Source organism: Homo sapiens, chromosome 2, assembly GCF_000001405.40.
Source record: "Homo sapiens chromosome 2, GRCh38.p14 Primary Assembly".
Classification (NCBI taxonomy): Eukaryota; Metazoa; Chordata; class Mammalia; order Primates; family Hominidae; genus Homo; species Homo sapiens.
This window is the reverse complement of record NC_000002.12, coordinates 165,933,577-165,960,452: the sequence shown is the minus strand read 5'-3', so window position 1 is coordinate 165,960,452 and position 26,876 is coordinate 165,933,577. Positions and strand designations below refer to the sequence as shown.

Here is a 26,876-nt window from a genome sequence, read left to right as displayed (position 1 = left end):
AACACCATGGGGAAAGGATAGTCTCTTCAATAAAGGGTGCTGGGAAAACTGTGTAACCGAATGTAGAAGAATGAAACTAGGCCCCAAATTCCCACCATATACAAAAATCAAATCAAAATAAAGACTTTAAGACCTGAAACTTTGAAACTACTAGAAGAAAACATTGAGGAAATGCTCCAGGACATTGATACAGGAAAAAATTGTATGTGTCAGACCTCAACAGCATAGGCAATCAAAGCAAAAACAGATAAATGGGATTACATCAAGCTAAATATCCTCTGGACAGCAAAGGAAACAATCATCACAGTGAAGAGATAACCCATAGAATAGGAGAAAATATTTATAAGCTCTCCATCTGAGAAGAGATTAAAAACCAGAATACATAAGGAGCTCAAACCACTCAATAGGAAAAAAATATCTGATTTAAAAATGAACATAAGCTCTCAACACACTTTTCTCAAAAGAAGACATACACATGCCTAACAGGGATAGGAAAATTGCTCATCAATAATAATCAGAGAAATGAAAATCAAAACTATAATGAGATATCATCTCACACCAGTTAAAATGGCTTTTGATCAACAAGACAGTCAATAACGGATGCTGGTGAGGATGTGGAGACAGGGGAACCCTCATACACTGTTGGTGGAAATATAAATTAGTACAGCCATTATGGATAACAGGATGGAGCTTCCTCAAGAAACTAAAAATAGAACTACCATATGATCCACCAATTCCACGGAGTATATATTCAAGAGAAAGAAAATCAGTATACTGAAAAAGATCTGCACTTCCATGTTTATTGCAACACTATTCACAAGAGCCAAAATATGGAATCAACCTAACTGCCCATCAGTGAATGAATGGATAAAGAAAATTTAGTATATATACACAATGTGATATTGTTCAGCCACAACAATGAAGTCTTGTCATTTACAGCAACACGGATGGATTTGGACGTCAGTATATTAAAGTGAAATAAGCCAAGCACAGAAAGACAAATATTGTGTGTTCTCACTGACATGTCGGAGCTAAAAAAATCAATCTCATGAAAATAGGGAGTAGACTGGTAGTTGCCAGAGGACAGAAGGGTATGGAAGTAGCAGAAAGAAGAGAAATTGATTAATGTGTATAAACATATAGTTGACAAAAGAAATAAGACCTAGTGTGAGACAGATCAGTAGGGTAAGTTTACAATATTCTTTTGTGCTTTTCAAAATAGTTAGAATAATTTGAATGTTTCTAGCACAAAGGACATATAATTAAAGTGATGAGATCCCAACCACACTGATTAGATCTTTATAAAGTATGAATCTATATTATCACATGTAACTGAAATAATAAATATCTATTATGCATCAATAAAATACATTTTTTTCTTAGACAGAGTCTCACTCTGTTGCCCAGGCTAAAGTGCAGTGGTGTGATTTCAGCTCACTGCAACCTCCACCTCCCAGGTTCAAGTGATTCTCCTGCCTCAGCCTCTGGAGCAGCTGGGATTACATGCACCTGCCACCACGCCCAGCAAATTTTGTATTTTTAGTAGAGATGGGGTTTCATCATGTTGGCCAGGCTGTTCTCGAACTCCTGACCTCAAGTGATCTGCCCACCTCACCCTCCCAAAGTGCTGAGATTACAGGCATGAGTCACTGTGTCCAGCCTAAAGTAATTTCTTTTAAAAAAGTTAATGACTTACCCAAAGTTGTGAAGTTATTGAGGGACAGAACTCTAACAACTCAGCAATTCTGATTTCAGTTAACCTAACTGTTCCATGATGTTGCCTCTGAGACTGAATTATGTGCTAGTTAGTTTGGATTTCATACATTTTTAACTTCTATATATAATTTCAATTTTATAGTAATAATGTTAAAAGAACACTTTGAGACAAATTTAGCAGAGTTTATTTGAGCAAAAAAATGATTCATGAATTGGGCAGCACTTGGAACCAGTCAAGGTTCAGAGAGGTCTACCCAGCAACTTCTTTAGGTAGTATCTACAGACAGAAAAAGGAAGGCACATACAGAAACAGCCTGATTGGTTATAGTTTGGTATTTGCCTTATTAGAACATGTCTGAGCAGTTTGCGACTTGTTATTGGCTGATATGATTGGCCAAAACTTGGCTGTTTAAAAAACATACTCTTAGTTACATTTCAGTCTGTTTACATATAGCTTATGGTGCAGTATGTATGAAGGTTTCTTTAGGCCAAATTTAATTTAATTTAACAAGCCTTAAAAAGAAAGAAAAGGCAAACACTCTTCTTATTCACAATTGTTGTGCAGGCTAGATTGGACGGTGGAAAACTATTGGTCTTAGCTTTGGGCTTCATCTTACTCTTCCATAAAATGAAACTGTTCAAGCTGCTAACATTATTTTCACCTCCCAAATTTAATGATGACATATACTTACCTCTGTTTTATTTTTAGTGTATTCACTTTTACTTTGTTTGTTACCAAAACTCCCTAGTTTTCCTAAGTGTTTTTCTTTAATTTGAATATATAAAATAATACAGCTACAAGTGGATCAGTATAAGAATTGGAGGAGGAGAAAATCAAACACAGATATGATTGAAAAAAACTATCAATGCTGTAAAACTTTCTAAATACTTATGTGATCAATACTGTACTCTGGAGTAGTTGGGAGTACAAGTGATTATAGGTAACAGTAATTCAGTACTTACCATACCCCTAATACTGCTCTGTACTTTAAATATTAACTTATTTAGTCTTCTTAACAATTTTCTGAGGTGTTAGTCTGATATTACAGCTGAAGTATACAGAGAAGTTAAATAACTTTTTCCAACTGAATAGCCAGTGAATAGTAGTATTAATGAGAGGTGACAACCTGCTAGCAGCACTCACTCGCTCTTGGCGTCTCCTCGGCCTCGGTGTCCACTCTGGCAGTGCTTGAGGAGCCCTTCAGCCCGCCGCTGCACTGTGGGAGCCTGTCTCTGGGCTGGCCAAGGCCGGAGCCGGCTCCCTCTGCTTGCGGGGAGGTGTGGAGGGAGAGGCGCGGGCGGGAACCGCGGCTGCGGTTGGCGCTGGCGGGCCCGCGCGAGTTCCAGGTGGGCGCGGGCTCCGCCCGCCCCGCACTTGGAGCGGCGGGTCGGCACCGCTGGCCCGAGGCAGTGAGGGGCTTAGCACCCGAGCCAGCAGCTGCGGAGAGTGCACCGGGTCCCCCAGCACTGCCAGCCTGCCCCTGCGGCGCTCGAATTCTCACGGGGCCTCAGCCGCCTCCCGCGCGGCAGGGCTCGGGACCTGCAGCCCGTCATGCCATGCGCGAGCCCTCCCCTCTCCCGGTGGACTCGTGCCCAGCCCGAGCCTCCTCGAAGGGCGCCGCCCCCTGCTCCACGGCGCCCGGTCCCATCCACTGCCCAAAGGCTGAGGAGTGCGGGCGCGTGGCGCGGGACTGGTGGGCAGCTCCGCTGCAGTCTCGGCGGGCCGGGAACCGCTAGGTGAAGCCAGCTGGGCTCCTGAGTCAGGTGGGGACTTGGAGAACTTTTATGTCTAGCTAAAGGTTTGTAAATGCACCAGTCAGCACTCTGTGTCTAGCTGAAGGTTTGTAAACGCACCAGTCAGCACCCTGTGTCTTGCTCAAGGTTTGTAAAGGTACCAATCAGTGCTCTGTGTCTAGCTAATCTGGTGGGGACTTGAAGAACTTTTGTGTCTAGCTAAAGGATTGTAAATTTACCAGTCAGCACTCTGTGTCTAGCTCAAGGTTTGTAAACACACCAATCAGCATCCTGTCAAAACGGACCAATCAGCTCTCTGTAAAACAGCCCAATTAGCTCTCTGTAAAGCAGACCAATCAGTAGGATGTGGGTGGGGCCGGATAAGGGAATAAATGCAGGCCACCTGAGCTAGCAGGGGCACTCTACTGGGGTCCTCTTCCACTCTGTGGAAGGTTTGTTCTTTTGCTGTTTGCAATAAATCTTGTTGCTGCTCACTCTTTGGGTCTGCGTGCGTTTATGAACTGTAACACTCACCGCGAGGGTCCGCGGCTTTATTCTTGAAGTCAGCAAGACCAAGAACCCACCAATTCCGGACACATTAAGGTCTGAACGAAAATGACGTATTTCTGGAGACGAAGATGTTAACTGCTACATTATATTATCTAGCTTTATAGTGCTCATCATCTGGTAGAGAACATTAAACAAAAATGCACTATAACTAGTAATACAAGGACTATGCAAGTGTAATAAGTCTTATAGAGCAGGGGTCCCCAATCTGAGGACTGCAAATCAGTGCTACACAGCAGGATGGGGTATACAGCAGGACGGGGTACACAGCAGGAGGTGAGCTGCGGGGCAGGAAAGGGAGCGTTACCCCAAGCTCCACCTCCTTGTCAGATCAGCGAGGCATTAGATTCTCATACGAATGCAAACCCCATTATAAACTGTGCATGTGAAGGATCTAGGCTGTATGCTCCTTAGATAAGAATCTGATGATCTGAGATGGAATAGTTTCAACCCGAAACCATCTCCCCTACCCCTGTCCATGGAAAATTTATCTTCTGTGAATTGTCTTCCACCAAACTGGTCCCTGGTGCCAAAATGATTGGGGACCACTGCTATAGAGCACTACGTGTTTAATGGAAACTATTGGTTATACAATGCCTATTATGTGTCAGGAAGTTTTAATATGTCTGTAAGGCATTTAGTTTCTTTAGTAAATAAGGAAAATGAGGCTTAGGGAAATTACTTCCCCAAGTCACAAAAGTAGCTAGCGTAATAGGAGCTCCACCTCAGATGCAGAAGAGGGTATTCTTGCCACTACACTGTGATATTTTTATACCCATCCAGTTATGGTGATCCTTAAAGACTTCATGAAATTTGAAATGAACTCAGAAGAAGGAGATTTTCTCAGGTGAAGAAAGAGCTCAAAACAAAGTAGGGGAAAGCATTACCAGAAGAAGGAATATTTGTCCCACTGAGCGGAATAAAGGCTCCTTGAAGGGGAGGTAGAAGATAAGGCTTGAAAAGACGATGAGGTGAAGGGTCATGGATATCAGACTCAAAAGTTTGTAGCTAGTAAAAGTGAGCCGATAAAAATGTTACTGCTAAGGAACACATCGATTTTTCAGGAAAGACAAGAGTTTTTCCTGGCCTGAGATCCAAAATAAATTTCTTACATGAGATCTAGTAAGGGCACAGGGCACACCAAGTCACCGTGAGTGTCAAAGCAAATCTCAGAGTACTTTTAATCCAACAAACATTTATGAAACATCAGGCTTGGTGTTTTGTGCTAAATAATTCAACCTTAGAACAGAATTCAGTGAAGAGAATACGAGGCTAAATTAATATGACTTTCAAGATCTCCAAAAGGTAGGTTGATCATCTGTTCTGTTAACCATGATCCTGAGATATTTCCTTACAGATGAACTTTTCTCTTATAACCAAAGGTTTACAGTTCAAGATTATACACTTCATTGAGCACCCTGGTCCTGTGGTATTCTTTGCTGTATACCAAGTGCGGATTAATCCGCAGCTTTGAAAATCAAAGAGATATCACCAGTTGTTCATCACCACAGACATTTAGCTGGACTATAAATATTGGAAAGAAAAAAAAGTTGCTCGTGAAAATACGTGGTGAATTCCTTTAAAGAGAAACCGGTGAGAAATATTGCTTCACCTTAAAGCCTAGGATGGTAGCTACCGTTTTTCTCAAGACTGTCCTTACATAACCTATTGGCATGGGGAAAAAGTCAATGTTTATAAACTCCTTAAGAAACTTAAAATCTGGAAAAGGCAACTACGTATCATGTCAACTAAAGTAAGATAATTAACACTAGGATCAAAATTTGGAATCCACGTGAAAGATTCTGCAAAGATCACTTAAATCTCAGACCTTATGCACTATTTTAAATATTTATTTAAGCAGAAATAGAAAATCTTAGTCTATTATATTTCCATTTAATTTCCTGGACTTAAGAAATCTATGTGTGACTGATTGAGTTGCCTAATGGGGTGCAAACATAAAAATTTGCATTGGGATTCATTTTATTCTCAGTTTAAAATCAGTAGTATCATTGAAAACAAGACACTAATTTTCTGGAAGTTTAATTTATTTGTCCCTCTTATTATCGGGGCTGGTAAAAAAGGGCTAATTGAACACACATTCTAACAAAGATTGCAGCAACGCCTGCAAAGACGGGCCCAAGCGCACCGTATTTCTGTTAAGAACGTGTGATTTTTTTTTTCTGCGCCACCTTGTGGCCGTAAAACAACTTGCCCACGTGAAAGTTGACCGCTTTTTCCCGCGCCGGCAGAGCCTTGCTGAGAGCCGCACTGCGGGAATCCGCCTCCAGACAAACGTGCAGAAAATGGTGTCTTCCTTTACAACCAGTGACAGGAAACAGACTTCCCCTTCTTCATACTCCGTTTCCTTTATTCCTGAATTCCATTTCCTCGGCCCGCCCACCCACTGTCCTCAGACAGCCGTTTCCCAGTGTGACCTCCTTTTCCAGCTGCACTCTCCGGCGGAGGCCCTTTTCCCAGCCCGGACCCTCCCGGGCGGCCCTCGCAGCCCTCACCTCCGGGTCCCCGCCGCCCCTGCTCCATTACAGCACGATCCCCGCCACACAGGCCCGCCTCTCCCTCCGACAGCCAATCGCGGCGCGACCCCGCCCCTCCCGCTGGGGCCCGGGGCGCTAGAGCGCTCCGGGAGGCTAGGGGAGCTGAATTCTGCGTCTTCCTTTAGGCTGCGGCGAGACAATCCCCAGAGCCCCGCGGCCCGGCCTCGGGGCAGCCATGGACTCGCAGGAATTGAAGGTGAGCGGGTGAGCGGGTGAGCGGGTGAGCGGGCGGGCGGGCGGAGTTCCTTTGCGGCCTTTTGGCCCGGGGGCGCGGAGGGAGCTCGGGTGGCTTCGCTAGGCCGCTGTTTCCCTGCGGTGCCCCGGCTGCTCGGGTTGCGGGGTGGGCCTGCAGCCTCTGCTCACGGCCGGTCTCCGCGGGCCCTGCTGGGGAAGCCCAGGTCTGGGCAGCCCGCCCGCTCGGTGTTTCTGAATTGCTGGTCCCCATGCTGTTGGTTGTGTTTACTTTTGTATCATGTTTACTAGGAAAGCTTGGGTTACCTATGACACTGCGCCTCCGGGTGCGATTTTTAAGGACTTAAGGCAAACTAGTGTCAGCTCCCACACTGGACAGTAAAAAGAGCGCAGAAAGATTATATGAAACCCATTAAAGACGTAAGACTTAAAAGTGGAGGGGTCGTTATTTTAGGGTGATGGTCTTCTCTGTTTATCACTGACTCATTCATTCAGCAAATATTAATGACGGTCAACTTAAGAAAGGCTGATATAAAACAGTTAAAGACATGAGGCTTGAAAATAAAATAACTTTTCGGATGTTGGTCTTCTCTATTCATTTGTTCACTGAATCACTCGTTCAGCAAATATTTATGAAGGGTTACTGTATGTCCATTAGAAGCTGGAGATAGCAGTGAGCAAAACTGAACAGTTTCTGCCTTCTCAGATTTTACAGGCTAATTAATGCTGGGGAAAAACCCTAATTCAGTTGACTCAACAAATATTTACTGAATGCCTCCTATGTGTCTAGCACTGTTCTAAGCACTGAAATAATAAAACCAAGAAAAACTCTTCCAATCTTGGAGCTTACATTTGAGTAGGAGGAGTCAGACAACAAGTAGGTAAATGAAATGTGTATCCTGTGAGATGGTGATAAGTGGATGGAGGACAATTTGGCGATGTAGGAGGTTAGGGAATGCTGAAATGTCTTGTTTTTCTGCCTGAAGTTTTACATTATCCTCTGTTCTAGCTATCCCCCTATATCCTTACATTTTTTTATTCCCTTAAATGTATTATTTGCACTGCCACCCAAATGAACATTTTAATAAAAACACTTTAATGTAAAATGTAAAAATGGGCCTCCTCATTACTTAGACTTGAGGTTCAAGTCCAAGTACTTAATATGAGGCTTTTCACCCCACCTTCGTCTCCAACCTCATCATCCAATACTCTCTGTCTCACTTAAGCCTCCAGAGCAGAGAATAGCAAACTTTCTCAACAAAGGGCCAGATAGTACACATTTTAGACTTTATGGACCGTATGGTCTATCACATCTAATTGGCTTGTTCAAAACAGCCATAGACAATACTTAAATGAGCATGGCTGTGTTTCAATAAAACTTTATTTATGAACACTGAAATTTGACTTTCATGTAATTTTCATGTTATGAAATATTTCTTTTTTTTCCTTGACAGCTGGAAAATATAAAAACCATTCTTAGTTCACTGGCTGTACAGCCAGCCAGCCAGATATGGCCCACAGAGTGTGGTTTGCCAAACCCTGCTCTAGAGTATGGAGTGGCTTTTAGTCATCTTCATCACCACTGCCATCCCAATGTACCATTGATGACTTGTTATCTGTGTTGTTGCAGTTCCTCTTCCTAACTCCTGTACCTTCCTCAAGAATCATGAAAAGGAAATAGGAAGAGCGTGTACGTGTGTGGAGGGAGAATGAGGGGTTTGCAATTCAAGAGTCAGCTCTGAAATCCTCCCCAATAATCTTTCCCTTGATTTTAGTCATCCATCCTCCCCTCACACCACATTCAGTTTTCAATGCTGTCAAAATGTTGCTATCCCACATTCCCAAAGGAGTTTATAAGCTCTTTTCTTACATTTACTACATTATATTTCAGTTAGTCTTCAGATTACAGTCTCATCTGAAAAATGTAGGTTTTCCGGGGGGACAGGAACCATGTCTTACTCATTTTTCTATTCATAGTAGCTAGCCCAGTGCCTGGGTACTAGTAGGCAGTCAGTAAATGTTTTGGATTGAATAACCTAACCTGAACCAAGGCAGTAGCATTAGGTATGTTTAGTGGGAGGTAGACTGGAGAAATAGAAGAACCTACTAAGTGGTTAGACTTAGAGAGACTGGGCAAATAGGAAGGGAGGATTCATGAGTAGCAGGGTAGCAGGTGGAAAATGGAAATATGAATCTGGAACATAGACAAGAGGTCTTGGCGCAGGACACATTTTTTTTTTATTCCATTAACATATGGGATGCAGAGGAACTTATTTTTTTCAGAATAGAACTCTTATACTATGATATCTTAATTAATTCTCACAGTGACCTGTACATTTGCATTACTAACAGCATTTTATAAATGAGCAGACTGAGGCGTTGTAAGAAGGACCAGAGATTCTTTTTGCCTTTAAATTCGCGTCCTTTTTATGGTGCTATGCCACTGCCTTTCAGGAGGATTATAGATGCTTAGTGATAGTGTGCAGAAGTCAAGTAAGGTATTAAACGTGTCCTTAGTTGTGGCAAAGTAAGAAGTCATTCTGCAACTTTAGGGAATGGAGCATTGGAGGAAAACTGTGTTTCACTGAAATGTGTTGTGGGGGTCTGGAGATGGGGTATGGAGCACACTTTTAAGAAACATGGCTAAAAAGGAGGTTAGGGAGCAGTGATCACAAGGAGGGAGGCAGAGTAAAATTACAGAGAACAGTCGCCTAACTGATCTAGAGAAGTACATGGACTATAGCCCTCCAGAAGCAAGAGACTATATAAAACAGAGCTGTCGGACGGGCGTGGTGGCTCACGCCTGTAATCTCAGCACTTTGGGAGGCCCAGGCGGGTGGATCACTTGAAGTCAAGAGTTCAAGACCAGCCTGGCCAACATGGGGAGCCCCATCTCTACTTAAAAATACAAAAATTAGCCAGGTGCGGTGGGGTGTGCCTATAGTCCCAGATCAGGAGGCTGAGGCAGGAGAATCGCTTAAACCTAGGGGGCAGAGATTGCAGTGAGCAGAGATTGCGCCACTGCACTCCAGCCTGAGTGACAGAATCTCCAAAACAAAACAAAACAAACAAACCAGAGCTGTCTAGATACCCTTAGATTTCAATCCTGTCACTTAGTCACCTGTATTTCTCACTGCTACTGAACAAGCTGTAGAGTCCAGGTAGGTAGGTATGGGGTGGCCCAAACTGCTTTCTGGTGAATCAGGTGTATCCTAGTGATGGTGGGAAAGTGTGGTTTCTGTCTTTGATGAGGTTAGCAACCAAGCCTTAGACATAATCGTAGGAAAAATGGTAGACAGCACAGGCCCATTTTTATTCAGAAGTTAGTAGGTCCTGATAGTAGTTTTGTCTTGTATATGGAAATAATATAACTTTGGAAAAAGCTTAAAGACAACGATTTTCATTGAAAAATAGTTTATTTATTCTTAACTGACAATTTATTTGTCGCAGAACTCAAAGCCGAGTAAGATAACATTTGATGATATGTTGAAGAATTAAATTTGTCATTACTTTGTAATGCTGTAATAAAATACTGGATATTTTAAAAAGAAGATTTTTTTTTTTAAAGAAACCTATGGTCTGGCAATGGAAGCCTCTTGTCTTTTTTTTTTTTTTTTTAGTTCCTGTTTATTGTCTGCCTTTCTGTTTTCTAAAACGTTCAAGAAAATGTGGGCAAAGGAAAAAAGGTGAAAGCAGCCTCATTTCGGTGCTGTTAACAAAAACTTAGGAAAAATAATTTAAATTATTAGAAAACATTGAATTATTTCAGTAATTTTATGATCATTCAGTTCTGCAATCCTTAGCATTGAGTTCTAGCCATTAATAGTATTTTAAGAAACTTGGAAGAAAAAAGTCACATTGCCTGAATTTTACATTATTCTAGATGTTAGATTATTATCTGCTTCTTAGAGTATTTCAGAGCACCAGAATTCCTTTATAACATTTTTTCATTATTTCCATTTAGACTTTGATTAATTACTATTGTCAAGAGAGATATTTCCATCATGTATTACTGGTTGCCAGTGAAGGAATTAAGAGGTATGGAAGTGATCCAGTCTTCAGGTTTTATCATGCCTATGGCACATTAATGGAAGGTACGTGTTAATCATTAAACATGTTCCATCAGTTTTAAATTCTTGCTTTGCACTAAGAACAGTTTTTCATATCATAATCTTGATTTTCAGGTAAAACTCAAGAAGCTCTTCGAGAATTTGAGGCTATTAAAAATAAACAAGATGTATCACTTTGTTCTCTACTTGCACTGATATATGCCCATAAAATGAGTCCTAATCCAGGTATGATATTTAAATGCAATGCTTAGGACATTTTTTCCTATTCAGTTTATTTTTATTTTTCTCAGTTACCAAGTCATTCAGTCTGATCACACTATATTATGTATTTTCTGTAGGTACAATTTATACATATGTTTATCTTCCTGACAAGGGTGTAAATTCATCAGGCACAAGAAATGTGTCTTATACTATTTTCGTGTTCCTTATATCCTCTGGCAGAGGTTTCATTAGTACATAGGGATTTTTTTAGATAAAAGGGAATGTATATTAGTAATTGTTACACAAAAAAAGGACAGCCAAAGAAACAGGTACCGTATGTACATAAATTGCTCTGCAGCAGCCAAGTTTACAACTTTTGTGCAAATATACAGCCAATGCAGTTTATTTCTGTATATTAAGCTTATTGAGAGCCTTAAAACCCTTTATGAGGGCTAGCTCTTGGGAGATATTCAGCAAATTTTTATGCAGTAGTAGGTTGACTAGATTCTGACTAGATTATAGAAGGAAATTTATACATAAACCAGCAATTAAAGTTGTGTAAACTGCCAGGCACAGTGGCTCAAGCCAGTAATCCCTGCAACTTGAGAGACTGAGGTGAAGGATTACTTGAGCCCAGGAGTTCGAGGCCAGCCTGGGCAACATAGTTAGACCTCCATCTCTAAAAAAAAACAGAAAATAAAAAATAAAGTTATGTGAACTGTCTTAATGTATAGTTAATGGCGAAGGCAGAAGAGTATCCAAATTGTATGTAATAAAGAAGAAGTAGTGTTATATTCTTCCATAAATATATATCCAGTAACAGCTAATAGGATTGTAAATATAGATTGTGTTTCAAAAAATTACATAATAAACAAAGGTCACAGACTGGTTCCTTGAATATTAGACGAGACTTTTTTCTAAAGCCAAGTATGACATACCTCCTTCATACATATGCAAATCAATACAAAGTTATTTAAAACATGTAAATATGTGCTTAATTTCTTCAAGAAACTGTGCCTAATACAGTTACAAGCTACAAAAGAATTCTAATAAGTGGTTCATGTCATCAAGTTGGTAATCTAGTGGAGAAAACAAAATGTAAAAAACACAAAGATTAAATTCCAATGTTTCTATTAAATAATACAAAATGAAACATGAGTTTATAATTAATTGAAGTTGGTATGCACTATTCAGCTGTAAGAGTAGGCTGAGAAGGCTTTTGAAATTTTGGAACTTAATCTGATCTTTGAAGGACTGGTAGAATTTGAATATGAAGAGTATTGGCCAGAGAGGAGAAATGGATGGGCAAATACATGGAAGTGGTTCAGGATTAGGCTCTTCTGTGGATCCCCTTTCTCCGTACTCCAGTGGGAGTGTGTTTAGCTAGAGCAGAAAATTTTCATGGGAGAGCTGTAGTTAGTATAGATTGAAGAAATTAGTACAAAATAATTTATTATTAGAATCAAGTTTTTATTTAATTGGTTATTCTTACCAGTGTTGATTCTGTTGGACACTGTGATTTGCAGGACACTGAAATGACAGAATCAGAAATACTGTTCAGAGGAACCTGAGTGCTAACTCTGCTTTGCACCAAGGATGATGCTGAATGGACTTGAGCTCTAGTAGGGGCCCAGATGTCTGTAAATACTGCCTAGGAAAGTCCTAGATTGTTAGTATACATTCCTTCCAGGATGCTGATGTAAATAAACCCTGCTTATAAAAAGGCTGCGATCTTTCAACAACTTTGTGCAGACGGTGTTAGAGCTGATTGATACCTCATTAGGGACGTGATGGAAATCTGAGTAGGAAAGATTTCCTGTACAATGCCTGCTTCTGCCTGGTGGTTGTTTTTTTTGTTTGTTTGTTTTCTTATTTCTGTTTCTGTATCATGGCTGTTTAATGAACACTTCTGAAGGGGTTGTAGGGGTGGGGAGTGGGGAGAGGAGAAAAGGGTCTTCTTGCTAAGCAATCTGTAGACTTACAGAAACAGTTTTGTTTCCTTCACTCATTAGATTGTACCTTGTTAATTTCACATTTAAATTTGTATCATTAGAGTTGAAAGGAAGAGTCACATACCTTTCTCTTGGTAGCCATTCCAGAAAGAGAACTGTTGGAATCACAGGCCGCAACTTACATTTCTTCTTCCTCATTGCATGGCTGATTCTGATTCTGATTCCATCCAGGGTTTGGGTGTAATTGACTTCTGTGTCCTAAGCAGATACTAATATATATATATATATATATATATGGGGGAGGGGAGAGAGAGAGAGAGAGTGTATAGACTTAATGTAAGTGAATAGAGTTATCTATTTAAGGGAGCAGTCAGTATTAAACTATAACAGCAATTATGCCATCTTTTTACTGACCCATAACAGTAGCTGGCATGTTTATATATTTTAGAATTGTATTTAAGAATTATTAATACGTTGAGTACCAGTACTGGACCTGTTCCTAATAATTGTGGTTAGAACCATTATACATTTTTATAAGTCTTATTATTAAAAAATATTAGTATATACAGCCTTTCTATTTTGGGAATGATGTAAACTCTATAGCTATATTGTGCATTACAGTGATCCTTAACCATATACCTCCTCTGTTGCCCAGGCTGGAGTGCAGTGGTGCAATCTAGGCTCACTGCAACCTCTGCCTCCTGGGTTCAAGCAATTCTCCCTGCCTCAGCCTCCCAAGTAGTTGGGATTACAGGCACCCACCACCACGCCCATCTATTTTTGTTTTTTATTTTTAGATGGAGTTTCGCCATGTTGGCCAGGCTGGTCTCGAACTCTTGACCTCAGGTGATCCACCCACCTCGGCCTCCCAAAGTGCTGGGATCACAGGTGTAAGCCACCATGTCTGGCCATATACAGCTTTTTTACCAAGTTTGAGGAACTGAATTTGAAATTTTATTTAATTCTAATTAATTTACTTTTTAAACTTAAAAATGATACTTGATTCAGTTATTAGAAAACTTATTTAGGAGTAACTTGAGTCTAAAAATCTGCTTTTCAGCCATAAGTTTTATGAAAACTACAAATCAAGTATTTTTAAATAAAATTTAACTTTTTTTTTTATTTTTGAGTCGGGGTCTTGCTCTATCACCCAGGCTGGAGTGCAGTGGCGCGATCTCTGCTCACTGCAAGCTCCGCCTCTCGAGTTCACGCCATTCTCCTGCCTCAGCCTCCCCAGCAGCTGGGACTACAGGTGCACGCTATCACGCCCGGCTAATTTTTTTTTTTTTTTTTTTTGTATCTTTAGTAGAGACAGGGTTTCACCGTGCTAGCCAGGATGGTCTCGATCTCCTGACCTCGTGATCCGCCCGCCTTGGCCTCCCAAAGTGCTGCGATTGCAGGCGTGAGCCACTGCGCCCAGCCAAAATTTAGCATCTTAATTGTGATGTGCTGTTATTATGAAATACCAGATTTCACAGTTAGTAAGGAAAGAGCATGCAAAATATCTCATTAATTTTTATGTCAATGATGCATTGAAATTATATCTTAGATATATTGGGCTAAATAAAACATTAAGATTAATTTTAATTGTTTCTTTCTATTTCTTTGATAGTGCTACTAGAAAATTTTAAGTTACATATATGGCTTGCATTTTATTTCTATTAGACAGTACCACTATAGAGAGAAGTAAATTTTTTGCCTTGTTAATTATCTGACCTATTATAAATACCTGATCCAGAATTTAATTTTTATTTAATATCATTTTCCCCTACCAGATAGAGAAGCTATTCTGGAATCAGATGCCAGAGTGAAGGAACAACGTAAAGGAGCTGGAGAGAAAGCCTTATACCATGCAGGCTTATTTTTATGGCACATTGGTCGCCATGATAAAGCAAGGGAATATATTGACAGAATGATCAAAATATCAGATGGTAGTAAACAGGTAGCTATTTTTCTGAGTTTAAAATAATAACATTAAAAAATGCTTATGTTATTGATATATCCAGTAGTATCTGTGATTTAGCTCTTTATTATTGTTCACTCTATTGCCAGTTTGTAAATAACAGCTTTATTTTAACCCATTTATGGTTATCAATATGGTTAATAGTGTATTGTAGAATAGGAATTCTCTAAGGTTAGTTTTATGCTACTGAGTCTTCAAAGATCCCTGCCTGGTTCCTTCTCTCTGTTTTTCTCTTTCTTTTTCTCTACCTTTTTTTCCTTCCCTCCATATTTTGTCCTTTCCTTTCTCCCTCTCTCCTTATTGAACAGCTCTAGATACAAGGTACCATTATTTGTACTGTTAATAATGCAAAGGAAAATAATACATAAACTTTGCTTTCATGAATGAATAACCCAGTAGTGCATAGAGCACATCCCCAGCTAATATTGTGAGAAAAATGATAGATGATATGAGAGATATGTGATTAAAGTATGCAAGAAAATAATAGCTAACATTTATTGCTTGCTTACTTTGTGCTAGGCACTGTTTTAAATTAAGGAGAGATCACACGCTTAAGTGTTAAGAGAATGTGAAAGAATTTTTTTGAAGGAACTAGCATTTGAGCTAAAACCTGAAAGATGGATACAATTTCAACAGGCAAAGATTATGGGAAAGGGAAGTAGGTACTCCCAAGGTGAGAAATAATAGATGGAAATGAGACATGTTACTTGAGGGTACACTAAGATACTCATATTTGATGGAATACAGGATACGTTGATAACGAGAAGGGAAGAAAAGCTTGGAGAGGTAACTTGAGACAAATTGAAGGATCTTGACTGCTAGTTAAAAATATTTGTATCTGATTGACATGCATTGAGAGGCTATTGAAGACTTTTAACTATGGTAGTGATTTTATTAGAGTGCAAATCCAGAAGATTAATTAGACAATGGTTTCTTGGATGAAGTGGCTTGAGAATAAACTGAAATGCAGTGAAAAGAAAAAGATAGTACTTCCTTGTGGAAGGTTTTGAGGCACTACACTAAAATATTGTACAGTGAGTACAAAGTTCAAAATTTTTAAATACCCACAGGACCTGTGAACTGATAATAGTTTAGAAAGATAACAAGTTGTCACGTATTAGGATGTCTTTGAGGCCTTAAGCCTAAAAAAATTAGAGACCAGTTAGCATAAATAGAAAATACATTGGCATAAGAAACTAATCTTAAAGGGAAGTGATCTATTTGTCTTAAGACATGCTGTATTTCTGGTGCTGGCAGAACAGTAAGATGGAGATAGCAGATGAATTTCTGGAAAAAGAAAAATTTAGAAGAGGTTTTCGGCTAGAAATATAGGTTGGGAATCATCCACACAGAGACAATAGTTAAAACCATTCAATGATGGCACTGATTTAGCACATAGCATTGGTTAAGATCCTTATTTGTATTTTCGGGTGAAATACAGGGAGGTAAATATAGTCTTAGTTAAAGGTTTATAAATTTGTCAGTTAACCTAGATTTTTTTAATAGAAAAAGCACATTTCACAGTTTTTTATTTGACCTTAAAGAGAAAAATAACCAGTTTTTATCTTGTTTTCAATCCCATATGTCTTACAACCCATCGGCCCACTAACATGTGTAAAGATAAATATCCATGAGTTCTTCAGTTTATAATTTCTCAGGCTATCCACCTGTCATTTGAAATTCAATGGACTAATCAAAGAGGTTAAGAAGATTGTTGCCAGATTATCTGAATCTTTAAGATATGTGAAGCAAGGCTTCTTCTGTTATTTCATCTTAGTTCATTTAGACGGTTTGTCCAAAAAGAAACAACAAATTCTCATCTATATATTGAATTTCATGTTTAAGTGTTATTAATTGTCAATTACTAGCAAAGTCTCAGAGAAAATAATGGTTTTAACACTAATGGAATATTTGATAAGCTTCTTAATTTTAATATTGAGCTTAATAGTAATGTTAAAGGCTGAAATTTGTAGTATAGTTCCCAAGACACTAGGCTGGCAAGGGTTCAAAAGTGATTTCACTAACAGAATTTTATTGTTCATAACATATTTGATAGAGTCCTTTTTGTTATTAATTGCCAGAAAAATGACATTAGGCTCTTTCATTAACATTTATTTCTCTCATTTCTAAAAAAGTAAAAATAGAATTATTCATTTTACAGGGACACGTTTTGAAAGCATGGCTTGATATTACAAGAGGAAAAGAGCCTTACACTAAAAAAGCACTGAAGTATTTTGAAGAGGGACTCCAAGATGGGAATGATACTTTTGCTCTGCTGGGTAAGGTGAGTTGGAGTTAGGGTAAATAAATCATGTTTCAAAATATATTCATAATATATTTGAAACCTGACAAAACCAAGTAGCTCAAAAAAGTTGATAATTTTCATGATACTGTTGTCAGCTCACAGCTGTAAGGTAGACTGGCATTTGTGTAGGACAATGAGCAATACACTAGAGAAATGTATTCCCTGCCAGAGTTCCTGAATCCTGGATCAGCTGTAACTGTTAATTGTTGTTGTTGTTTTGGTTCACACATTCTTTCCTCAGCATTTATTATGTGTCTTATGTATGTGAGGCATCCCTCTAGATATTAGAAACCCTGAGCAAGAGAAAACCTCTTGTTTTTATGGAGCTTATATCCTACTGATGGAGGCAGACAATAAACAAAATAAGTAAGTTATATGGTATATTAGAAGGTGATAAGTATAATGGAAAATACAGCTGGAAAAGCTAGGGCATGAACTTCCAGTTTTACATGAAGTGGTCGGAGAAAGTGACATTTGAGCAAACACATTTATGGAGGTGAGGGTTAAAGCCCTGCAGGCATCTGGGGAAAGTATTTCAAATAGAGGAGATGATGAGTTCAGGTACCCTAAGGTGTATTCAGGGCTAGCAAGGAGGCCAAAGTGGGTTGAGTAAAGAGAACAGAAGTGAAGGCCTGAGGAAGAAAGGTGGGATGGGGGTGAGGAGGAGTGGTGGGCCTGGCCTGTTCTGTAAGGCCTTTGGCTTCTACCTTCTATTAGAGAGACAGGCAGCCAATACAAAGTTTTGAACAGAGAAATAACATGATCGGACATACATTTTGAGGGATGAGCAATTGAAGGAGTCATTAGAACTTACTGATGGATGGAAATATTTAAGTAGGACCCTTTCTTCAATCCCCATTGATGCTATCTAAATGCCTTAATTTTTTTTTGACTCAGCAAAAAGAAATTATATGTTGGGAACAAGTCTGCTAGATAAGCAGTAATTTGGAGGGATAAAAAAGAAGGGGAGAGGATTCATGTCTTGACTTTTGTTAATGTCTCCACATCACTTTTCCTGTCACTTTGTGTGGACAGTAAGCCTGTTGAACATCTTGTGTTCAGGCCCACTACCCTCAAGTTTTACCTAATAGCACTGCTGAAGAAATTGGCCATATACTTTTCTTGATCATTTTCCTTCTCTTAAAGAAAAGCTAGTTGATAAAAATTTGCCTCATCATCTCTTTTTAATGTACTAACTATATTTATAGCTTTATTTTTTCTGACTATGAGATACATGAACATAGTAAAACTTTTTTTCAGAAAATACAATAACATCTGAATGAGAAAATGAGCATCACCATTGGAAATAACCAGTTAAACTATTATATATAATATCTCTTCATGTCAGTAAATCTACGTCTACAAATTTATATCATCATTTTTAATGATTACTTAACATTTTATTAAATTAGATATACTATAATTTTCTCCTCTAGGTACATTTGGGATTATTTTATACATAAACAATTCTGCCATAAATATCATCTATATACTTCCTTGTGGTCTTGTCCAATTATTTCCTTCAGATAATTCATAGAAGTGAAAAATGTTGAAGTAGAGGGATTTGTTTGAACTGTATTTTGCTTGTTCTTTAAAATCATATATTCTTTAACCTGAAAATAATTTCTTAAAAAAGATGCAAAATTTCTAAAATTTCTTAAAATTTTAGATGCTACTTGAAAATTTCCTGGAAACATTTTAATCTAAAAAGATAATTTTGTTTTAAATGGAAACATTATTTTATGGTATTTCCGAGAACATTTTAAAAAATTTTATCCTTTAATCATGTTTTTCAGCCATTTAAAAGTAAATTTTAAAACACAATAGCTTATATAATGTATTTGTATTATTCTGTGATGTTTTAAAATTTTGTTTTGACAAAAACTTAAAAAGTGATAACTGCTCCTCACAGAAAAGTAAGTATTAAACGCTCATACTCTGCCTGCTCTGCGTTATGAGAACTTTGATATGAAAGATCACAGTTTGGATATCACTTTTTTTCCCTTCCATTAGGCACAATGCCTTGAGATGCGCCAGAATTATTCAGGTGCCCTGGAGACTGTGAACCAGATAATCGTGAATTTTCCGAGCTTCCTTCCTGCTTTTGTTAAGAAAATGAAATTACAACTAGCCTTGCAGGATTGGGACCAGACAGTTGAGACAGCACAAAGGTTAAGTAATAAAAGATGACACAAGTCTCTTTGGATTTGGTTATAATTTTGAGAAAAAGCGACATCTGTGAATTTTTTTCATAAGGGTTTTTAAATTTGATTTTTTTCAAACAGTGTGGAACCGAGGAAATACTTAAAATCATACTGCTTTTAAACATTGAATTTATTGATTTACATAAATATTTGATTCCTGGTTTAAGACAGACACTCTTTTTAGGCAAACAGGCCAATATCCCTGTGGTCATGAAGCTTATATTTAAGTGAAAGGAACCATATACTAAGCACACCAAATAAGTATATTGTGTAGTATGTTAGAAAGTATAAGTGCTATGGGGAAAAGATAAACCAAGAAAGAGATGGGGAGTGTTGAGGGGTTCAATCTTATGGGATGGTCATGGAAGGCTGAGACCTTTGAGCCATCTTCTAAAGAAGGTAAGGGAGTAAGCCATGCAGATATTTGAGAGAAGACTTTGCAGAAAGAAGGAAAAGCAAATGCAGAGTCCCCGAGGTGGGAGCACATGTCATATGTTTGAGGAGTGGGAAGGAGTAAGAGAGGTGAGTAAGGTGTGAGGTCTGAGACAAAGGGTGGGAGTGAGCCCGTGCTAGATGGTGAAGGGTCTTGTTACCCATGTAAGGATTTGGGGTTTTCTTCTGAAGCATGAGGTTACTGGAGGGTTTTGAGCAGAGGAGTGCCATCATCTAAATTCTGTTTTAAAAGAATCACTCTGCCATGTGCAAAACAGACTGTGGGCGAGCAGGCAAAGGCAGAAGCAGGGAGAACCTTTTGAAAGCTGTTGCCATCATTGAGAAATGGTCGGGGCAGGCCCAGTATAGTTGTGGTGGAAGTGCTTTGAGAAGTGATTGGAATCTGGACCTGTAGCATTTTGTTTAGGTGTAAGAGAAAGAATAGTTTAAGGTGATTCCAAGGTTTTTGGCCTGAACTACCAGAATAACAACAACAATGATGATAATGAACTGTTGTGAAGTGTTCAGAATGCCTGGCTCATAGGAAGTGCTATTTATTCCTAGGGTAACCCTAAGAGGAAGGTACTATTAGTATTTCTGTTTTACAGCTGAGTGGACTAAGGTACAAAGAGGTTAAGAAGTTTCTCCAGAGCCACACAATTACTTAGTGGTGGAGTCAGGATTCAAATCCAGAGCACTCTAGTCCCAGAGTCTGTGCTCTTACCCACTACTTGCACTAGAGGATAGAGTTTGCTTCAGCTGGACAGGGTGATTATGGAAAAAGAAGGTTTCAGGGCAGGTAAGGAGTTTAGCTTTCAACATTGTAAGTTTGAAATGCCTATGAGAAGTCAAAGTAGAGATGGATGTATGGGCAGGCAGCTGGATGTCTGAATCTGGAGTTCTTGTGAGAGGTCTAGGCTATAGCTAGTATTTTGGAGTCACTGACACATAGATATGATTTATGTGTCAGTGACTTTAAAGCCATGAGATCAAGAATAAATATATTTGAGTCACAAATCAATACTTTCTAACAGATGAATTCATGTCACTTAATACTGAAATTACAGAAAAGTAAATTTCATAGGTAATACAAATATACCTTTAAAATCAGAATGTCTTAATAGAACTTTTCATGCAAACAATAGGCAGGATACTTTCAAGATACAAATGAAGTATAAATTGCATAGAAAGTCACCTTTACTTCAGTTTGGATTAAGGTTTATAGTCTTAGAATCTTGAGAATAAGTGACTTGCAAGCATGTCTAACTTTTATTCATATCTGACAAAATATTAATGGCTATCTCAGGGCCGAACATCTTGGTAACATCTTTGCTAAGATCGTCTATCATTTATTATGGAGAATTTCAGATTTATGTAAAAGCAGACAGAAGAACATCATGAGGTACTCTTTATCTGTTTCCTGCCCCTAGCTACCGTCACCACATGACTAAACTCCCATTTGGTTCTTGGCTTTAATTTTCGTTTTGAAGCAAATTCAAAACTCTGCATCATTTCATTTGTAAATATCACAAGATGTGTTGAAAAAATAGGATAATTCTTTTCCCTCTACAACATAATGACAATATCATTATCACATATAAAAAATTAAAAATAGCTTTTTAATATCAATTATCCAGTGTTCAAATTACCAATAGTCTCAAATATTGTGTTTTTTAAATAAATTATTTTTTAATCAGGATCCAAATAAGTCCACATATGGTGATTGGTTTATATCTTTAAAGTCTCGAGGCTGTCTCCCTGTCTCTGTGAGTTCTTTCTCACTCTTTCTTTCCCTCTCCCTTCCTTTCTCCTTCCCCTCTTCCCTCTCCCTCCCTCCTTCTTCCTGCCTTTTCTGTTTCCCTGTTTCCCTTCTCTTTTTCTTCTTGCCATTTTTTTAAGTGAAGAAACCAGTGTTTTGTCCTGTAGCATTTTCCATGATCTAGATTTTGTTGTTTGTCTGCCATGGTGTAGTACAACTTGTTGCTTTATCCTCTGTATTTCCTGTAAGTTGGTAGTTGGATCTAGAGGTTTGGTTAAATTCACATTCAATTTTGTTGTTTTGGCAATTACTTCATGAGTGGTACTGTTGTCTTTCATCACAGTGACAGAATGTCTGCTTGTCTCTCTCTTTTCGTGATATCAGCAGTTATTCATGCTCAATAACTAGGTGCTTGATTCATAGGGATTATAGTAGGGTTGCATTTGAATTCTGTCATTCTTTCTTTGTTTCTTAGCTAGAATACCTATAAAGAAAAACTTCTCTTCTCCTGGTTAGTTACTGAGTGGTATGGTTCATATAAGAAAAGTAGGATAAGATGCTGAAGTCTTTTCCGTTATTTCCAGGTTTAAAAAAAAAAATGCCAAGAATTCCTTAGCATCCTTCATTGGTAATTGATTAGTGGCTCAGGTTTGTTTGTTTTACATACCATGGATTTAGATGAGTGCTTCTGGACATTTTAGTCATTATAATTGCACAGTCTTTTCTCTGACTATTAGGAGCTTCTTCAAGTTGTTCTTAAGTCCTTTTGACATGATCCTAGTAGTCTTTGATAGTTACTTTGCTATTTGGTACGACAAGCTGTCCAGGCTCATTTTGTGTATTACTTCCCCAAGTAGGTATCAGTCATTTGTCCAGGGCAATCTAATCTCTTTTAGTGTGAAATGATATTTGAAGGCCACAATTAGGGTACTAGTAATTTTTTGATGTATATATCTTTCAAGATTTTTTTTCTAGGCACTGTGTGTGTGTGTGTGTGTGTGTGTGTGTGTGTGTGTGTGTGTGTGTGTGTGGTTTCTATATATTTTAAAAATATGTATATATTTGAGGGTGTTTTAAAAATAATAAATAGACTCATAATGTACTTTTAAACTTGTTTTTCTCTTTAAGAGGGTATTTCATAGATATCATTTTATACCTATTCACATAGATACACCAAACTGTTTTTTAATAGACAGTATTTTTAGGGTAGTTTTAGGTTCACAGCAAAATTAAACAGAAGGTACAGAGATTTCCCATATATTCCTTGCCTCCACACATAGATAGGCTGCCTAATTATCAACATCTCCCACCAGAGTGGTACATTTGTTACAGTGGATGAACTTACACTATAGGCGCCCAAAGTCCGTCATTTATATTACAGTTCACTTTTGGTGTTGTACATTCTAGTGGTTTGGACAAATGTGTAATCACATGTATCCACCATTATAGTATCATACAGAATATTTCTACTGCCCTAAAAATTATCTTTATTGTGTATCCGCTATATATCCCTCCATCTCCCCAACTCCTTGCAACCACTGCTCTTTTTACTGCCTTTATAGTTTTACCTCTTCCAGAATGTCCTGTAATATGGAATAATACAATATGTAGCCTTTTCAGCTTGGCTTCTTTCATTTAGTATTATGCATTTAACTTTCTTCCATGTCTTTTCATGACTTGATAGTTCATTTATTTTTAGTACTAAATAATATTTCATTGTTTCGATGTACCACAGTTTTATCCATTGAAGGACATCTTGATTGCTTCCAAATTGTGGCATTTATGAATAAAGCTACTATAACCTTGTGCAGGTTTTTGTATGGACATCAGTTTTCAACTCCTTTGGATCAAATGCCAAGGAACATAATTCCTGAATCATATGGTAGGAGTATATTTAGTTTTCTAAGAAACTGCCAAACTGTCTTCCAAAAATGTTATACCATGTTATGTTCCCACCAGCAATGAATGAGAGTTTCTCTTGCTTTAAAACATCTTCATCAGCATTTGATGTTGCCAGTGTTCTGGATTTTGGCCATTCTAATAGGTTTGTAGTGGTATCTCATTGTTATTTTAATTTTAATTTGCGTTTCCCTGATGACATGATGTGGAGCATTTTTAAATATGCTTATTTGCAGTCTGTGTATCTTGCTTGTTATGTGTTTGTTAAGGTCTTTGGCCCATCTTTTAATTGATTGATTGTTTTCTTATTGTTGGGTTTGAAGAGCTCTCTGTATATTTTGTAAAACAGTCCTTTATCAGATATATCTATATCTGATAAATATTTTCTCCCAGTCTGTGGCTTGTCGTTCACAGAGCAGAAATTTTTAATTTTAATGAAGTCCAGCTTATCAACTCTTTCTTTCATGAATTATGCCTTTTGTGTATTATCTAAAATGTCATCATCAAACCATAGGCCGTCAGATTTTCTCCTGTATTATCTTCTAGGAATTTTATAGTTTTATGTTTTACATTTAGCTCTGTGATCTATTTCAGATTAATTTTTGTGAAGAAGGTGAGGTCTGTATCTATATTCATTTTTTCCATGTGGATGTCCAGTTTTTCCAGTGCCATTTATTGAAAAGAGTGTCTTTTCTCCACTGCATTGTCCTTGCTCTTTTGTCAAAGATCAGTTTACTATCTATGTGGGTCTATTTCTGTGATTTCCACCCTGTTCCATTGACCTGTTTGTTCTTTCACCAATACCACACTACTCTCTTGATTACTGAAGCTTTATAGTAAGTCTTGAGGTCAACTAATGTCAGACCTCTAACTTTGCTCTTTTCCTTCCATAGTATGTTGCTATTCTGTGTTTTTTTGCTAATCTGTATAAACTTTAGGATGAGTTTGTCAATATCCTCAAAATAACTTGCTGGGATTTTGATTGGGATTGCATTGAGTTAGTTTACAGATCAAATTGGGAAGAACTAACATCTTGTATTGTCTTTGCATCCATGACATGGAATATCTCTCCGTTTATTTGGTTTTTCCTTGATTTCTTTTGTCAGAATTTAAAAATTTTCCTCATAGAAATCTTGCACATATTTTGTTAGATTTATATGTACCTAAGTATTTTACTTTAAGGAGTGCTAATGTAAATGTTATTGTGTTTTTAATTTCAAATACCACTTGTTCATTGCTAGTGCATAGGAAAGCAATTGATATTATATATTAACCTCATATCCTACAATCTTGCTATAATCGCTTGTTGATTCCAGGAGTTTTTTTTAATTGATTCTTTTAGATTTTCTACATAGATGTTCATGTCATCTGTAAACATCTATGTATTTCTTCCTTTCCCTAATCATTTTAAAACTGAGTAGCATTCTATGAATTGAAAATGCAAATAATTTATTTAATCTCTCCGCATTGGTATGCACCTAAGCAGTTTCCTATTTTTCACTGTTCAGTATAGTGCACTGTACACACATGCATACACACATACCTCTTTGAACACATGTAGGACTATATCTGCAGAGAAGTTTCCCAAAGGAGAGATTGTTGAATCCAAGATACTGTATTTGTTAGGGTAGGCTAAGCTGCTACAAAAACAGATCTAAACATATAATGATTCAGTGTAATAGAAGAATGTTTCCCCATATGTAACTGTTTTGGGTAAATGTTAGAAGTGATCAGGCAGCTTTGCTCCACACTGTTTTTAACGGACCTAGACGCTTTCCATCTTGCAGTCCTGCCATCTCCTAAGACCTCATAACACTTGGCAGAAAGGGAAAGATAATGTAGAGAAGTCATTCCACTTTTCATAAAAGCCCAGGCCCAGAAATGGCATATATTACTTTATTTCACGTTGACCACCTCTGAATGCAAAGATATCTAGGAAGTGTTGGCTAGCCACATGCCCAAGCAAATAAGGAGAGAATGAATTTGAGGAGACAAATTGTAGTCTCTCCCTCAAGTATATAAATTTAAAATTTTGATAGGCACTGCCAAATTGCTCTCCTAGGAAATTGTACTAATTTACACTCCTACTAGTAGTCTATTGAATGATCCCTTACCTTATCCTCACCAATTCTGGCCATTTTCAGTGCGTGTATTTTTTTTTTCAAGCAATCTGAAAGAGAGGTATCTCATTTTTATTTTCATTTCTTTTATTGTGTTGAGATTGAGCAATTTTTCATATGCTAAAAGCTCTTGTTTTTCTTTGGTATATAACTGGTTCTAAATATGCTTTTTTTTTTTTTAAGTGAGCCTATTCTCTCCTCAGTTTTCAATGGACTCTGATAATTTTTATCACAAGTTCTCCATCATGTTTCGTTTCTTTTCTTTTTTTTTTTTTTTTTTTTTGAGACAGAGTCTCGCTTGTTGCCCAGACTGGAGTGCAATGGCGCGATCTTGGCTCCCTGCAACCTCCGCCTCCCGGGTTCAAGTGATTCTCATGCCTCAGCCTCCTGAGTAGCTTGGATTACTGGCACCCACCACCACGCCCTGCTAATTTTTTGTATTTTTAGTAGAGACGGAGTTCTCCGTGTTTCTCTTATAACAGTTTTGTTGGCTCTTTTTTTCGCTCTTGACTGTCATAATCAATTTACAAAATAATAAAAAAGAAGCCATAGAAGATTTTGGTTTGAATTGCATTAAATTTGTAGTCATATGTGGGGAAAAAAAATTTTCTTTCCCAAAAATGACCATTATTATATCAGGCAGCTATTGGTGTATAGCAAACAACCACAAATGTCAGGACATATAATAATAAGTATTCTTTACTCACATTTTTGTGGGTCATCGAGGGTCTGCTGATCTCAGGCAAGGCTTGGCTGGGGCCCTGCTTCAGTTCAGATGCAGCTGGGTGAATGTGGCACATCATTGCAGTTTGGACTCTTGTCACCTCCAATAGTGTTTCCCCCAGACTCACAACAAGTAGCAGCCACTACCCAGAGGAAATTCTTCTTGTACTGATAGCAAGTGCCAGAGAACAAGCAGAAGTATGCAGTGCCTCTAAAATTTAGGTTGATACACTGCTATTCCTGCCCACATTCCATTGGCCAATATAAGAAAAATGTCCAAGTCCCTAGTCAAGAAGCAGTAGGGTACACTCCAACTTTTGTAGTTAGTTACATGGCAGAAGACACGTACTCAGGGAGGGTTGAAAAACTGGAACCAGTAATTGTGATATGTACCACATCATCCATGATAAGAGAAGTCTGGGGCGTTACCTTTTTGGTTCAGTTCTTTTTAAAAATGTCCCTGAGTACAGTTTCATAGGAATTT

At 38.1% G+C, this 26,876-nt stretch overlaps 1 protein-coding gene and 2 long non-coding RNA genes across 9 annotated transcripts in view, besides 3 other annotated features; 1 reads left to right on the top strand and 2 right to left on the bottom strand.

Moving 5' to 3' along the window:
• LOC102724058 (uncharacterized) overlaps nucleotides 1-3,035 on the bottom strand; it is a 78,983-nt gene extending 75,948 nt beyond the window's left edge. Inside the window, exon 1 of the long non-coding RNA NR_110598.1 lies at nucleotides 2,861-3,035. This is a non-coding gene — a long non-coding RNA (uncharacterized LOC102724058). The remainder of the gene's footprint in view (nucleotides 1-2,860) is intronic.
• Nucleotides 5,913-6,662: an enhancer, noted in NCBI's record as "NANOG-H3K27ac hESC enhancer chr2:166810301-166811050 (GRCh37/hg19 assembly coordinates)". NCBI's record gives its function as "activates a minimal SCP1, AML or CMV promoter by ChIP-STARR-seq in naive H9 embryonic stem cells {active_cell/tissue: H9 hESC(naive)}" and the evidence as "EXISTENCE:reporter gene assay evidence [ECO:0000049][PMID:30033119]".
• Nucleotides 5,913-6,826: a biological region, named in NCBI's record as "NANOG-H3K27ac hESC enhancer GRCh37_chr2:166810301-166811050".
• Nucleotides 6,427-6,826: a silencer, noted in NCBI's record as "silent region_12069". NCBI's record gives its function as "represses an Ori minimal core promoter by ATAC-STARR-seq in GM12878 lymphoblastoid cells {active_cell/tissue: GM12878}" and the evidence as "EXISTENCE:reporter gene assay evidence [ECO:0000049][PMID:35858748]".
• TTC21B (tetratricopeptide repeat domain 21B) overlaps nucleotides 6,677-26,876 on the top strand; it is an 80,415-nt gene continuing 60,215 nt past the window's right edge. For 4 of the 6 annotated variants that reach the window (NM_024753.5, XM_017004967.2, XM_006712761.2 and 1 more), the window contains exons 1-6: nucleotides 6,677-6,768; nucleotides 10,729-10,858; nucleotides 10,949-11,059; nucleotides 14,763-14,929; nucleotides 17,112-17,234; nucleotides 19,269-19,426. In NM_024753.5, the coding sequence (NP_079029.3) occupies nucleotides 6,748-6,768; nucleotides 10,729-10,858; nucleotides 10,949-11,059; nucleotides 14,763-14,929; nucleotides 17,112-17,234; nucleotides 19,269-19,426 (710 nt within the window). In that variant the 5' untranslated portion in view covers nucleotides 6,677-6,747. The other 2 variants (XM_047445870.1, XM_011511871.4) reach the window with 2 other exon arrangements.
• Nucleotides 12,132-26,596, bottom strand: TTC21B-AS1 (TTC21B antisense RNA 1). Of its 2 annotated transcripts, NR_038983.1 has the most exons (5): nucleotides 26,377-26,596; nucleotides 25,664-25,719; nucleotides 13,112-13,256; nucleotides 12,528-12,565; nucleotides 12,132-12,418 (listed from the first exon to the last, which is right to left on the bottom strand). It is a non-coding gene; the product is annotated as a TTC21B antisense RNA 1 (long non-coding RNA). The 2 variants fall into 2 exon arrangements; NR_038984.1 differs by lacking the exon at nucleotides 25,664-25,719.